This window comes from Homo sapiens, chromosome 1 (genome assembly GCF_000001405.40).
Source record: "Homo sapiens chromosome 1, GRCh38.p14 Primary Assembly".
Lineage (NCBI taxonomy): Eukaryota > Metazoa > Chordata > Mammalia > Primates > Hominidae > Homo > Homo sapiens.
The window spans coordinates 6167376-6183198 of NC_000001.11; the positions used below are offsets into that span (position 1 = coordinate 6167376).

Below are 15823 nucleotides of genomic sequence, written 5' to 3' on the forward strand. Positions count from 1 at the left end.
TGGAGGATCAGAGGAGACGCCCAGAAGGAAGCAGACAGCATATGGTGAGGAAATGGCAGACCTCAGTGTCCTAGACCAAGTAGGAAGGACTTTAAGCTGCAAACCCACCTCAGTTTCCCCATCTGCCAACCAGCGATCATCCCTCCCATGCCACCAATTTCCAGGGCTGATCATGAGGATCAAGTGAGCCCGCGTGAAGCACAGAGAAGCACACTCGGAATGTGTCAGCAGCGTGGGAAGACAAGGGACGTGTTCACACCATCACACCCTGCCAACCCAAGGCAGCGGAGCATGCGGCAGCCTCGCCCATCCAGAACCAGCCGAGAACCAGGGACAAAGTGACGGGAATCCAGAGGTCACCTGCAGGTGACTGTCCCTAAATGGGGCCTTGCTTCTCTTCTCCAACTCACTTCATCAGGTTTCAGTTTAGAGGGACGGAGTCAGCTACAGAGCAGGGAGTGGGGCAGGGAGGTAGGGAGGCACCGTGGCGACGGAATCCAGCCCTGTCCCTCGCACAGGATAGGACAACGGGAGGAAGGAAAAATGACGCTCCGACATCCTGCTCCGGAAACAGGACAGCTCAGCAACGTCTTAAAAAGGCTTCCGTGCACAACGCTTCATACGAGAAACTGGTTATGGTGTTTTTCATCAAACTCAGCTCTCAGAAACCCTCAAACTCCAAGGTCCAGGGACCCCAGCCCTCCTCTGCGGCCGGGCAGATGCAGCCACAACCCCACCCGCCCCAAGCTCGCCGGCGCAGGTGCTGCCCCTCACCTCTTTCTTCTTCCGCTTCCCTTTACACTTGTTTTCCTTGAGCTTCTTGGGTTTCTTCTTCTTAGGAAGGCTCACGGGCTCCACAGGGAAAAAGTCATCGAAGGCTTCAAGACCACCATCTTCTTCTTCTGGAAAAATCAGAAGGTGGCAGCAGTTACTCCTGAGCTTCCTCCAGGAGAGCCCTGGAGACACAGAGCCAGCCCTGGGGAAGCTGGGACCCCCAGACACCCAACTGTGCCAGGTCACAGCTGCCCTGCCCTCCCCAAACCCAGTGAAGTGAGAGAACACAGGACAGGAGCCCCAGCTCTAGGGACTGTGTGACATCACCTCACCTCCAGGCCTTTCCTTCCCTCCTCTGTAAATGGGACAATAACCACCTGCCCCTGATAAGACAGTGTTCAGAAAACTGAACCTCCATGAACAACAAACAGAATTGCCTTGTTGCCATCACTGCCGGAGAAACGGAGCATCTCTACCAGGAAGGAGTTGGGGCTGATAGAGCAGAGTACAGACCTCAGTGAGGCCCATCTCTCCCTCCAGAGAGAGGACCACAGTGTGGCCAGGAGGTGGCTCGAGAATGCTGGACCTGCCAGGCACAGTGGCTCACGCCTGTAATCCCAACACTTTGGGAGGCTGAGGCGAGCAGATAACCAGAGGCCAGGAGTCTGAGACCAGCCTGGCCAACACGATGAAACCCCGTCTCTACTAAAAATACAAAAATTAGCTGGGCGTGGTGGTGGGCGCCTGTAATTCCAACTATTCGGGAGGCTGAGGCTGGAGAATCGCTCAAACCCAGGAGGTGGAGGTTGCAGTGAGCTGGGATCGCACAACTGCCCTCCAGCCTGGGCAACAGAGTGAGACTCCATCAAAAAAAAAAAAAAAAAAGAGAGAGAGAGAATTGTGGAGCACAGGGACACTCAAGCCCCAAACCTGAGGACCCCAGGGGTTTGCAGGACAAACTCAGCAAGGAAGATGCCAGGATACCCCATGGGTTTGAGAGGATGCCACCTTAATGGAGAATCCAAGACCATATCGTATCTCCTCGTGGATCCCGCACCTGTGCACACACAGGCACACAGGTCCGCACTCCCCCACCTCCAACACACTCACAACGGGAAGCCAAGCGCATTCCAGCTGGGCACTAGAAAGCTGTGACAGTCCACAGAGAGACGCCGTGCCCAGCACACGTGGGTGTTCAGGACTCACCTCACCTGCACTGACTCGAAAGGCCGAGGGGGCCCTGGCCGGGCAGGCTCGGGAAGGGAGTATGTTTGACGACACTGGCCACAGTCCCAGGTCTGCCTCCCTCAACCTCCAACCCAGAGGAAGGGCTGCCACATGTCCTGGGGGGTGTGACGTGAGACCCCTGCTGGGACGGCAGTAGCCTGGGGTCTGACGCTCATCTGGGAAATCAGGATAGAGAAAAGGAGTTCCCACGCACCAGATATGAGCTGTGGAGGGGCTGTGGGGAGGGTCCTCTTGGCAGGCACAGCAGCAAGAATCAAACCATCCAAAGTAGAGACACTTCTGCCCGTGGGGGCAAAGGAGGCTTCCAGAAGGGAAGAACCTCCAAGAGTCCTCTAGAAGGGCCCACGAGAGAGCCGGCCCTTCATGCCAGCCTGCGGCCCCAGCGCCCCAGCCAGCTTGTCCTACTCGCTCTCCACCATCCCCTGTGCACTCAGGAGCACTCAGGGGAAGCTGAGGGGCAAAGAGAGGCCCCTCAGCCTCAGACCCTCTGCCATGGACACCCCAGGCCTGACCTTCTGTGACAGTGGAGACACAACAGGGAGTGTCACTCAGAGCCTGAGGGTTGCCTCCAGTGGGACCCCGCGGAGGACGAGAGGTCCTGGGGCCACCAGGAGGCTTTCACCCAGGAAGGGGGCAGAGTGTCCCTGCTGGATCAAGTTTAGAGACAGAGAGCCCCTTCCCCCGAGGAAGTTTTTGATCATAACCACCTACAGCTGGCAGTGTTGGAGCCAGGTTCGAACCCAGGCAGTCTGGTGACCCTGGTGACCCCTGGGTCACCAAAAGGGCTTCGAGGCGACCCCCAGTGTGGCCCACACGCTCAGACACACTCGCCACATGCAGACGCACAGACATGCATGTGCACCCAACACTCACCTGTCACCCTCCACACAGGCCCCCACCGCCCGGCCTGGGACCCCCAGAGAGTCCTAAGCGGGGAAAGGGGGACAGGAGGGCTCCTACCCTGGGTCTCTGGGGCTCCCATGGCCCACACTATGGGTGCAGCTTTAGCCCCACTGTCCCCACTCCTCGGGGGCACCGGGGCTCTGGTGGCTGAGCGGACGCCCCTCCCACCCTTGCATCCCACGGGGCCAATGTGCACCAGTGGAAGGTGTTTGCACCAGTGGAAGGTGGGGGCTGCACCACTGTCTTGGTGCCTCTCTGCACCAGGGCCTCCCTCAAGGGTGGCCAGGTGCTTGGGGCTCCCACACAGGGAGGGCACCCTGTGGAGGGCTAGGGCACACAGGGGAGCCAGCAGCAAGGGCCGCCCCAGGTGGGTTTATGTGGGTGAGGCCCCAAGCAGCCAGGGGCAGGGGCTGGGCTGCTCCGGCTGACCCCACCCCATTCCTCTGATCACTAGTGTGGAAAGGCGGGGATTTTTCAAACCAGCTGAAAACGTGCACGGGGACCCCCTCGGAGTCGTCCTGCAGAGCAGGTGTCGGTGGGGCAGTGGCAGGGCTGGCGGGGAGCTGTCTGTGGTGGGGCAGCCGATGGGATGCCAGTCCACAACTGCCCGCTCTGCCACCGGGCCTCCGCCTCCCCCGCCACCGCAGGAGACCGCCTGGGCAGAGCCACCCCCACACCCTGGCGGTGCCCAGCACTGCTTATGTAACGGGCTCTGGCTGATGCAATCTCGAGGGGGGGCCTCTCCCTCCTGCTTCCTCCCAGCTGTCCCCTTCCGGCAGGGTGGTCCCAGACTTAGGAAACCCAGCCCAGCACATGGTCACTGACTGGTGGCCTGACCAACAGAACGGATGAGGGTATGCACAGGTGGCTGCCAGAAGTTCTGGAAGGAAGTCTGGGATCTGCCCGTGGGTAAGGGGAGGACAAAGGGGGACCCCTGCTCTGGCCCTAACCCACGCCCAGAACAGGCCTTCGAGGACAAGGCCCCAGACCCTCTGCCCATGGACAGACCCCAGCTCCGTTCCCAGAAGACCTCACAGCCCAGGGCCTCTGCCTGGTGAAACCCACCTCTGAGAAGGCTCTGGAACTGGCACACGGAGACGGGGACTCAGCCCTGCCTAACCCTGTCTCTGATGGGCCCTTCCTCTCCCCAGATGGCTTCTGGTGGGTGGCCCTGAGGTCACCACACGCCTGATTCTCTATGACACTGCCCCCCCCAACACCTCACACGCTCCCGTCTTCAGCCAAGCCCCAGCCCCTTTCTGCCCTTGGACACTCTCTGCTCCCGCAGCAGGTCCTGAGCTTTCTAAAACCAGATCTGGGGGTCACCATACAAGCAACTGCACGGTCAGCCTTTCCCCAAGCCCAGCCTGTGCCCTTGAGCCCACCAGTCCCTCCTCCCTATGGCTCCATCTGGTGGGGACAGAGCAGAGGCCCAGAGGGTTCCAAGACGCAGAGCATGCAGCCAGTGTTAAGGTGGCATCCTGCCCGTCCCGGGTGAGGGGCTCCAGGGAGGAGCAACCTCACCTCAGAACTCCTTGTCCTGCCAGCTCCTGGCCCCTCGTGGCTGCCCCACCACCCTCCTGGCCCACCTGGCAGTGCCCTCATGCACCAGCCCTAACCCTCCAGGGCCTGAGGCTCCACGGATCCAAGCCTGCTCTAATTAAGACCCATTACCCTGTGATCACCCACCTCCTGGGGGTGGAGGCGGGGTGGGGCTCAAGTCGACCAGAGGAAGGAGAGGCACCTTCTGCTGCTTTCTCCAGAGCTCCCTCAGCCCCTCTCTAGCTCCCAGTATGCGCCAGCTCAGCCCTGTGGGACCCCCAGGCTGGCCTAGGCTGAGCCACTGCAGGCTGCGGCCAGGCCGATGAGGTGGGCCCTTCTCAGGGTAGCGCATTGCAATAGCAGCAGTCGTGATAACTGCATACCACCTGCCAGGCTCGTGCCAGGCCCAAAGTACCTAGGACTGATTAATTTGTATCAGTTCAACACAGCAACTCAGAGAGGGGTACTATTCTTTCTGGTTTGGGGCTTTATTTATTTATTTATTTATTTTAGAGACAGAGTCGCTGGCTGGAGTGCAGTGTTATGATCATGGCTCACTGCAGGCCTCGACCTCCTGGGCTCGAGCGACCCTCCCACCTCAGCCTCCTGAGCAGCTGGGACAACACGCACAACCACCACACCTGGCTCAGGGTTCTATTCTTATCCCCATCTGCAGATTGGGAAACTGAGGCTCAAAGGACCTCATTATTTACCTACATCTCAGTCCTACAGCTGGCAGTGGTGAAGCTGCCACTGTTTGAACACAGGCAGTGGGCGCCCACCCCCTTGCGAAGTCTCTCCCCCAGCACCCTCCCACTGAAACAGCCCACGCTGTGTAAACCGGCTCGGTGGATGCCCTGGGGACACTGAGGTGACTCAGGCTGGTCTGTGGTCTGGCAGGTCACAGGTCCCTCAAGGGGGTCAAGGCTGGTTCACCACACTAGTCCCCCTGCACACAGCCCCACAGCTCTGCCAGACCCAGGCTCCAGCCCCTCACTCCTCTGGGGAGGGGCAGCAGCAGAGCAAGGACGCAGCCGCCAGGGCACTTGGCAAACACAAGGTGATCAAAACAAGGGGAAGGCGCGTGACTGTGGAGCGAAAGTTAGGTCATCTGATTCTGGGTGGTTGAAGGATTTGCAGGGGCCAAGCCAGGAGCTGGGACGAGAACACCATCACCAGGTTGCAAAGGCCGGCAAACCTGCCAAGGACAGGGACCCCACTCAATGTCCACCACTCTCTCCAGGACCTGGGGAGAGGCGTTATTTCTTTTTTTTTTTTTTTAGACGGACTCTCGCTCTGTCACCCAGGCTGGAGTGCAGTGGCGCGATCTCGGCTCACTGCAAGCTCCGCCTCCCAGGTTCACGCCATTCTCCTGCCTCAGCCTCCCAAGTAGCTGGGACTACAGGTGTCCGCCACCACACCCGGCTAATTTTTTGTATTTTTAGTAGAGCCAGGGTTTCACCATGTTAGCCAGGATGGTCTCGATCTCCTGACCTCGTGATCCACCCGCCTCGGCCTCCCAAAGTGCTGGGATTACAGGCATGAGCCACCGCGCCCGGCCGAGAGGGGCTATTTCTGTTCCCCACCTGGACTCCCCAACCAGCAACAAGCAGAGAACAAGGCCACCAGGAGGTCAGGAGGAGGGAGCAACAGGGGCAGCAGAGGCTTCAAGCTACCCCTCCTGGAGGTGATACCAGCAAGTCCCCTCCCCACTGAGCCTCTCTCTTCATCTGTGAAATGGGCCTAATGTGGCAGCCTTTCCCCCAGGGCTATGGGGAGAAGTAAAAACTGTGAATGCAAAGGACCCACACGATGCCTGCAGGGGCTCAGCAATGGCAGGCAGAGCCCAGCGAGACCCAGGAGGGTCAGGGCGGCAGTGGTGAAGGGCAGAGGGCAGCGGTCTCTAGTTTGGCCACTGCTGGGCCAGAGGTTCTCAGGGCCACCCTAGACGCTGGCCAAGGAGTTCTCAGGCTGCCGTTAGTCCTCGAACCTCCCCCCATGAGACAGGGCTTATGCTGGCAAAGGGGGGCAGTACACCGCCCAAGAGAGGATTCATAATTTATTTATGACATTTAACAAAACCCAGACATCACCTCATTGGTGTCACATCAAAAGAAAGCATCAGTCCTGAGTGGGGAGTGGAGGGAAGAGACGGGGATAGATGAGGCATTTACCCCAAGTGACTGGGGCCTGGGGGGAGTCACCCTGGGGGTGCAGGGAAAGCAGGGAGAGGCCCAGGGCATGGGTGGGGAGGAGGAGGACAGAATGGTGAGAGGGGAAGTCAACCTGGGGGGACAGGGAGGGACAAAAGAGAGAAAAACGGCCAGACAGAAAGGGAGAGGCAGGGGCATGACCTCAGGGGAGACGAAAACTGACAGATATGGGGACAGAGGGAGAGAGAGAGACAGGGAAGGAGAGTGAAATAAGGACAGAGCCACAGAGATAAGCAAAAGCCCAGAAAGTTAGACAACACACATTGTGTTCAGTACCCAGCTCAGAGAAGATATTCCAGAAGTCTCTGATGGGTGGACGGATAATTGTATAGTGAATGGATGGATGGTGGATAGGTGGATGGATGAATGCATGGTGGATGGATGGTGAATAGATTGATGGATGATGAATTGATGGATAGATGGTGGGTAGATGGATGGATAGATGGATGGATGGTGGGTGGATGGATGGATGGATGGATGGATGGCAGATGGATGGACACTGGACGGATGGTGGATGGGTGGATAGTGGATGGATGGTGGATGGGTGGATGGACGAATGGATGGTGGATAGATGGTGAATAGATGGATGGATGATGAATTGATGGATAGACGGTGGGTGGAAGGATGGATGGTGGATGGGTGGATGGATGAATGGATGGTGGATGGATGGTGAATAAGTGGATAGATGGTGAATTGATGGATGGATGATGAATTGATGGATAGATGGTGGGTGGATGGATGAATGGTGGATGGAAGATGGAGGATGGACGGATGGATAAATGGATGAATGGATGAATGACGGATGGATGGATGAAAGATGAATGGATAGATGGATGGATAGATGGTGGGTGGGTGGATGGATGGATGGTGGATGAAGGATGGATGGTGGGTGGGTGGATGGATGGATGGTGGATGAAGGATGGATGGATGGATGGATGGATGGCAGATGGATGGCTGAATGGATAATGGATGGATGATGGATGGATGGTGGGTGGATGAATGGTGGATGAATGGATGAGTGGATGGTGGATGGATGCATGGATGGATGGTGGATTGATGAATAGATGGACAATAGGTGGATGGATGGATGGCAGATGGATGGATGGTGGGCGGATGGTGGGTGGATGAATGAGTGGTGGATGAATGGATGAGTGGATGGTGGTTGGATGCGTGGTTGGATTGTGGATTGATGGATGGATGGTGGGTGGATGGATGGATGGATGCATGGATGGATGGTGGATGGATGAATGAATGGATGGTGGATGGATGAATGGATGGTGGATGAATGGATGAGTGGATGGTGGATGGATGCATGGATGGATGGTGGATGGATGCATGGATGGATGGTGGATAGATGAATGGATGGATGACGGGTGGATAGATGGATGAATGGTGGGTACAGGAATGGATGGATGGTGGGTGGTGGATGAATGGATGGAAGCATGAATGGTGGATGGGCAGATGGATGGATGGTGGATGGGCAGATGGATGGATGGTGGATGGGTGGATGGTGGATGGACAGATGAATGAATGGTGGATGGATGGATTGGAGGATGGATGAATGAATGGTGGGAAGCATGGACAGATAGTGCATGGATGAATAGTGGATAAGAAGAACAAGAACAAATGGATGGATGGATGGATGGATGGATGGACGGACGGACGGATGGATATACATATGGATAGATAGGTGGATGGTGAATGGTTACTTGGTTGGTTTTGTGGGTCGACGGGTAGATGTGGGAGAGCAGGTAGATACATGGATACATGGATGCATGGATGGATGGATGGATGGTGGGAAGCATGGACGAATAGTGCATGGATGAATAGTGGATAGGAAGAACAGATGGATGGATGGATATGGTATGGATATGGATTGATAGGCGGATGGTGAACGGTTACTTGGTTGGTTTTGTAGGTGGATGGGTAGATGTGGGTGGGTAGGTAGATGGATGGATGGATGATGGGTGAGCGACTGAATGAACTGATAAAATGATAGATGGATCCTATTACCTGATCAACTTGGAATGACAATGAATAACCCACTGGCCAAGCCACTGGGCAAAGTGTGCTGGTCATTTTGTCTCCCTCCTCCCAGAAAAGAATGTTAAATACAATCAGGCTCCCTGGGACCCCCCTACCAAACCATGCTTCCACAGGGGTAGGGGTGCAGGCTAAAATGTCATGGCCTTTTGGGAATCATGACTGTCACTCTCTCCTGGCCCCTGGACCTGAGGAAGCAAGCCTAAGATACTTACACATCTAGGGCCAATTGTCACTGGGGCCAGAGAGGTAACGGTGCCTAGTCCAGACATTGCCCATTCTGGGCTCACTAGCTTTGTCTGTGATTGAGGAAAAGCTGGGCCAATGAGGCAGGGAATTTGCCAGCCCAGCAGTGGCCCTAAGAGGGCTGAGAGCCACATTTTCTGAAGCCCTCTCCTGCTTCCTGCCACCCCTACCTTGGGCTTCACAGCCCTCCTCCCACCCAGGCTCCTACTCCCCTGAGCTTACTGGCTAAGGATGCAAGTATCAGAAGCATTTCCTTGGAGAAGGCAGGACAGCTGCCCTCCTTGGCTGGTGCTAACTACACCAGCCACAGTTTATTGAGCACCTATCATGTGCTGGGCACTGTGGCCTAATGTTCCACATGCACTGTCTCACTGTTCCTCATAATAACCCTCTATGAGGTAGCCAGTGCTATGTCCCCATACTACAAGTGGGCACACCGAGGAGAGGGCTGCCTGGCTTGTCCAAGACCACTCAGCTAATGCTCAGAGCTAGAAGCCAAGGCCTCATCCCACCAGCTCTTGACCCCTGGCTTCAACCAGCCACCCCAACTCCCAGGAGAATCTGGCAACTGCTGGTCCCCCAACCAGAAGAGGCACCCGCCCTGCCTTCCTCCTAGAAGCTGGCTCAGACACCTGCCTCAATGCCAGAGCTGGCCAGGGCAAACCTCCCCCTCCCCACCATCACTGCACGGGAAACAATAATTCACTGCTGAGAGTGAGCAACTCCCAGGGGGAGGTGGGAGATGAGCAGAGTCAAAGAAAAAAGATCGGACAAGTCATGAGTTTAATAGCCGTAGACTGAAAAATCATCATGACAGCTTCCAAAACACTAGCTCCTCCAGCCACAAACTTCCATCTTTTGGAACCAGCTGGTTCTGGTCTTTGGGGGTCACCGCCACTGAGCTTGGACTCAGGGCTGCATAGGGGCTATGAGGAAGAGCTCAGGGTGAGTGGGGGGCCAGCAGTGCGACTTGACAGGAGGCCTGGCTAGGGCTGTCTTCACAGCCAGAAGCTGGGGTGACCTAGAGAGTCCCAGCCCTCAGACACTGAAACCACAACCATCTCTCAGGAACGCATGGTTTCAGGTGCTGGGCATGGCAGGTTATCGAGAGTTACATTCGAAGGGGAACCCACAGATCCAGGAGGAAACTGATGACAACGTTTCGAGTATGTGAGGTGTGGTGACACAAGCATGTAGTCCCAGCTACTAGGGAGGTTGAGGCAGGAGGATCGCTTGAGCACAGGAGTTCAAATCCAGCTTGGGCAACACAGCAAGACCCCATCTCTTCCAAAGAAAGCATGACAATGTGTCTCAGAGTGACTGGAAGGCCCTTAGCAAGGGTGTCCCTCCCCATCATAACATTCGAGCTGGGACCTAAATGACCAGGAGGCAGCGGTGAGCAGAGGAAAGAGCAGGTCAGGCAGAGGTCACAGCCAGGGCCCCATGGCAGGATGGAGCGTGGAGCGTGGAGTGTTCCAGAAGCAGCAAGGAGGCCAGCGTGGCTGCTGTGAACAAAGGGGTACAGGAGTGGACCCGGGACAAGGGTTTCAGAGGCGACTGGAGCCATGCGGGTCGGGATCTGACTTGGGTTCACGAGGTGACCCCAGCTGCTGTGCAGTGGGTGGTCAGAAGGAGTGGGTAGAAGGCCCTGGAGGGGACCGGCAGGAGGGGACAGAGGCTTGGACCCAGAACATGGAGAGAAGCCAGGAGCCTGGAAAGGCTCTGGAGGTGGAGCAGCTGGCCTTGCTGATGGATGGGGACAGAATCCCCAGGCCAGAGGTGCCAGAGCAGGGCGTCTCTTCTGCAGGGCTCTGGGGGCACTCCTGGAGGCTCTGGGGCCAACCCACCGAGGGGGAGCACGGGTGGTGGGCAGGATGACCAGAGCCCCGCCTCTCTGGCCCAAGCAGTGAGTCGGGTGCCTACTAGACTGGGGGCACCTTCCCTGGCCTCTTCCCCTCCCCAACCTCTAAGTCCCCACATAGTCAGAGAGAGCCGGAGTGTAAGATGGGAAAGACAGCCAGGGGACTCCACCAGCGGGTCGGTGCAACCCCAGAAATGCCACTGATCCCACAAAAGGGCCACACCCCAAACACCATAACAAACAACTTGCTGAGAAAACCAGTAAACTGGCTTACTGGGGAGCCAGCCTCCTAGGTGGAAAATGGCCACTGATTTTTTTTTGTGCCTGTGCGGGGCCTCAGAGTTCCCCTCCGGAGAATGGGTCTAATTCCAAGGACCCAGGATATGACAGTCAACTATTGTCCAGGCAACTCCACCCCAAGAGAGGACTCCCCTATTCCCCGTCCCCAGCACGCTCGCTGCCAACTTGGCCTGTCTAACAGGCGAGGTGAGTGCCGGGCTCCTGTAGGAGCTCAGTGACAGCATTAAAGCCACCAACTAACCAAGCAAGCAAACAGAAGGGGGCAGGGGGTGTGGCCACCTGGTGGGAATACCCTCCCCAGAAGACGCTGGCTGCTTCCTCCAACAGGAGCTGGAGGTGTCCATTTGTGGAGTCTTCTCACCCCTGGAAGTCAGAAGGGGCCAGATGCACGTTCCTGGGCCCGGGAGGGCCTCCAGCCTCCCACAAGTCTCTCCGAAGTCCAGAGAGGCCACAGACTTGGCGCAGGGAAGCCGAGAAGTAAGAGTCTCCCAGAAAGGAGGGAGGGTGGCTGACAGGGTGGGGCCCTACCCAGCTGTGCCAGGAGGGAAAACGTCCCAAACAAATGGTGAGCAGTTAACTAAAGAACTGTCCCGCAAGGCAACCCCTGGCGCACAGCCCTGTGTATACTAAATTCTGAGAGAGATAAAAGGAGAGAGATGGTAGGGGCAGGGGCGGTGGCCCTGGGGCGTCAGGCCCGTAGCCAAGGCAGGGTGGGCTGGGAACGGCCACCACCCTGGGCGATGGTGAGGCTGGAGACAGCGGCGGGCGCTAGGTCGCGCCAGAAGGACGCCGGCGGCCCGGGTAAAGTGCTTGGGAGCGGCGGTCACAGCGCACAGAGGCCAGGAAAGAGGAGCAGGGGTCCGAGCCCGTGCGTCCCAGAGCGGAGTCCTCCTGGGCCGGGAGGGAAGCCGCCCCATCCTGGGCGCTCAACGCGTCCCCAAGCACCGCCGGTCCTCGCCCCTCTCTGGGCCCCACCCAGCCCGCCCCGCGGCCGACATGGGCCAGGGGCCGGGTCCCGCCTGCCCGCAGCGAGGCCAGAGGCGCACGGCGGCGGGACGCGAGCGCGGGGTGCGCCGCTCCGGGAGCTAGCGCGATTCCCGCCCCCTTCAAGGGCACGCGGGCTGACCCTGACAGCGCCGCGCCCCCCAGCGCAGGCCCCGGCCCGCGGTCCTCTGGCCCGCCTGGCCCGCGTCGCCGCCCGGGGGGCCCGGATCGCACCCCGCCCTTAGCCGCCCTCACGCCGGCCCGGGCGCTCACCCAGCCTTCGCCCTTGGCCGCGCGGCGCCAGCAGGGCGGGAGCGCAGCCCCGCAACCCGGGTGCCCCTCCTGCGAGGCGCCAGCCCGGCCGCGCCGCCCCCGCCGCCCGCGCTCCGCCCTGGGCCCGGCCCGTCTCGGCGCCCCCGCCGCTCTGGCCCCAGGCGCACCCGCGCCCCGCTCACCTGACATCTCGTCCTCATTCTCCATCTCCTCGGCGAACAGCCGCGGCAGCTCCTCCTCGGTGCCCACTGGGCCCCGCATGCCCGGCGCGGGGAGGAGGGGAGGTGGGCGCCCCCCCTCCCGCCGGGCGCGGTGCCAGCCTTAACCCGTGCGCTGCCGGACCGGCGCGCGCGGCGGGCGAGGCGGCCTCGGCGAGAAGATGGCGGCCGCCTGCCCCCCCACCCCCCCAAACCTCCACCCCCCCGTCTCGACCCCCCTTTCTCTCGGCCGCCTTAGCCTGCTCCCCGCAAAGCCCGGGCGCTCCTCCCACCGCGCCCCGCAGCCCGAGTCCCGCAGCCGGCCGAGGGTGGCGGCGGCAGCGCCAGAGGCACGGCGGCACGGCGGGGGGGCGGCACACATGCCCGGATTGTGACGTCCAGTCTGGTTGCTGTGGCAACCCCATCCCATCGTTCCGGCAGCGCGACTAGTTAACAGCAGAGAACAAGTTGGGGGACTAGTCCTGAGCCGCCGGGTGAGGGTGGGGACCGGGGGGCGCCCCGGCAGGGGGAGCCGTCGAGGCGTCCGCGCGCCCGCGGACCCGACGGCCGAGCGGGCAGTCGGGGCTTGGCGAGCCCGGGCGCAGGGGGAGGCGAGGAAACACCGCCCCCGCGCACCCCGGGCAGAGCCAGCCGCCGCCGCTCGCCTGCGAAGGCGCTGGGCCCCGAGCCCCCAAGGGCGCGGAGGCAGGGTCTTCAGGGCAGCGCGCGGCCCGCTCCCCCACTCGGTTCACAGGCGCCGGGACCCACCCCGCTCCCGGCTCCGGCCTCGGCACGTTCCTAACCCCCTCTCCAAAGAGGATTAGAAGAAAAATGTGTTCCACACTTGGGGAAAAGACGCTCTGGAGACTGTGGGTCTGATTTACAGCAGAAAAATCCGCGCAGGCGGGCTCCCCTCACCTGCTTCCCCGCTCCCACCGCCCACGTGCCCCCTTCCAAAAAGCCCCTCCAGGCTGGGTGCAGCTGAAACCCATGCAGACCCCTAGGGGTGGTGCGGATCTGCGATGTCTGTGCCCAAAACTCCCGCTCAGAAGCGACACCTGTCGCAGAGCAGGAAGGAGCCGCCGCCACCAGCCCTCGGTCGTTAAAGGTGAAGATGGAGGCCAAAGCCCTCGGGAGCAAGACTGGAATTTTAAATGAGCGCCTCCAGTCTCCGCGGCGGCAAGTCTTAAAGCTACCTTAAGAACGCAAAAGTTCCAGGGGCTGGCCGACCGCCAGCTCTCTAACCCCAGAAGGCCCGTGAAGGGAGGGCCCCCTCTCACTGCCTCGCAGGGGCACTGGGGGAACCCACCTGAGACACGCAGGATCGGCAGCAGTTTCCCTTCTTCCCGTTCAATTTTATTGCCAGCAAACCCCAAACAAAAGACCCTCTGCATTCATCCCTGGGCAAGGAGAGGTCGGTCCAGCCTTCTGGAACCAAAGACTGGGGTGTTGGGAACCCCTCCATCTCCCAGATCCGCTTTAACTACGCTGTAGATAGAGAAGCCGGGTCAGCCCAGTGCTGGCCGCCTGCAAGGGGAAAGGAACACTCTTCAGGGAAGCAGGCCAGGAAACCAAAGGGCCTCCCCTCCCAAGGCCGTGTTTCCCCACAGAGCAGCTAGCCAGGGGGAGCCCCAGATCACCGAGGCTTGAACCAAACCTGCCTCTTCCTCGTTCTTTCCAGACCAACTGCCTCCATGAATGGTGACCAACAAGGGAAGAAAGCCCTAAGCTGACACGCCCACCCCTCAGTTACCAGCCCCCCAACACCTCTCTAATCCCTTTCAAAGGTCCCCTGCCCTTCGGTAGAAAAACTCTGATTTACAATACTTCTCATCACCAGAAAGCCGCCCCCATCATTAACCCTGGCTCCAATTCCCAAGGCGAGGCTGAAAGTCAAGATATCGTTCAAGAAAGAACAGTTCTAACTGCTTAATCTGGCAACAAATTAGAGCCGAGATGCTCATCAGTCATAATCCTCTCCCCATCCTGTTCTTCCCGATGACTGCAACTAGGTAATATTATTTAATGTCCAAAAGCAAAATGAAACAAAAACTGGAATGCTAGAAACAAATGGATTTTTTTACTACAAATCTCCAGGTTTTTTGGGTTTTTTTTTTCAAGGGGGGGAGTTGAGATGGTGTCTGTCGTCAGGCTGGGGTGCAGTGGCGCAATCTCAGCTCACTGCAAATCTCCGCCTCCCGGGTTCAAGCGATTCCCCTGCCTCAGCCTCCCCAGTAGCAGCTGGGACTACAGGCGCGCACCACCACACCTGGCTAATTTTTTGTATTTTGGTAGAGACAGAGTTTCACCCTGTTGGCCAGGATGATCTCAATCTCCTGACCTCGTGATCCGCCTGCCTCGGCCTCCCAAAGTGCTGGGATTACAGGCGTGAGCCACCATGCCCGGCTCTCCAGTCATTTTTAAAGGTGAGCCCTTATTATTGTTAAACTATTAAATGGGTATTTTAATGACAACGGACCAAAAATGCATGACGTTAAAAGCAATCCCTGAAACTTGCAACTCTGCGTTGCAAGAACAAGCCTATCATTAAGGTTACTGTTTTAGGAGACAAGATTCTCATGTTTGCTGATCATAGAGCTCATAATTACACCTCAGTGACAATTCCAAAATCAAAATATTTTTTAATATACCGGTTACAAAAGCATCAAGGAAAAAACTTTTTTCGGCTGGGTGCAGTGGCTCACACTTGTAATCCCAGAACTTTGGGATGCCGAGGCGGGCAGTCATGGATCACCTGAGGTCAGGAGTTCGAGACCAGCCTGGCCAACATGGAGAAACCCCATCTCTACTAAAAATACAAAAATTAGCCGGGCATGGTGGCGGGCGCCTGTAATCCCAGCTGCTCGGGCGAGTGAGGCAGGAGATTCGCTTCAACCCAGGAGGCAGAGGTTGCAGTGAGCCAAGATTGCGCCACTGCACTCCAGCCTGGGTGACAGAGCGAGACTGTCTCAAAAATAGAAAAAAAAAAAACTTTTTCCAAGAACAGAGTGGAAAAAGCTCATCGTCTTCTGCACATACCATACTCAATTTCCATTCCAGGACTAAATGAACTCCTCATCCAGGAACCCCCAAGGCCTGCCTGAGGCCATTTCGTTCAACAATGCATATCCACGCTGTGGCCACCTGGCACCACCAGCTTCTCAAGGGCAATGAAGTGCTTGTACATACACCACCTCACAGCGAGTCACATAGATCAAAACTCTGCCCCACACCTCCTC

General features: G+C 58.2%; 1 protein-coding gene across 1 annotated transcript in view, besides 2 other annotated features; it reads right to left on the reverse strand.

The window, feature by feature from the left end:
- The window catches only part of CHD5 (chromodomain helicase DNA binding protein 5), a 78535-nt gene extending 65589 nt beyond the window's left edge, over positions 1 to 12946 (reverse strand). Inside the window, exons 1-2 of the mRNA NM_015557.3 lie at positions 12570 to 12946; positions 775 to 902 (exon numbers count right to left, since the gene is read on the reverse strand). Coding sequence (NP_056372.1) covers positions 775 to 902; positions 12570 to 12648 — 207 coding nt within the window. The 5' untranslated portion in view covers positions 12649 to 12946. The remainder of the gene's footprint in view (positions 1 to 774; positions 903 to 12569) is intronic.
- Positions 11202 to 11703: an enhancer, noted in NCBI's record as "H3K4me1 hESC enhancer chr1:6238637-6239138 (GRCh37/hg19 assembly coordinates)". NCBI's record gives its function as "activates a minimal SCP1, AML or CMV promoter by ChIP-STARR-seq in primed H9 embryonic stem cells {active_cell/tissue: H9 hESC(primed)}" and the evidence as "EXISTENCE:reporter gene assay evidence [ECO:0000049][PMID:30033119]".
- Positions 11704 to 12203: an enhancer, noted in NCBI's record as "H3K4me1 hESC enhancer chr1:6239139-6239638 (GRCh37/hg19 assembly coordinates)". NCBI's record gives its function as "activates a minimal SCP1, AML or CMV promoter by ChIP-STARR-seq in naive H9 embryonic stem cells {active_cell/tissue: H9 hESC(naive)}" and the evidence as "EXISTENCE:reporter gene assay evidence [ECO:0000049][PMID:30033119]".
- Positions 12947 to 15823: the final 2877 nt, after the last annotated feature.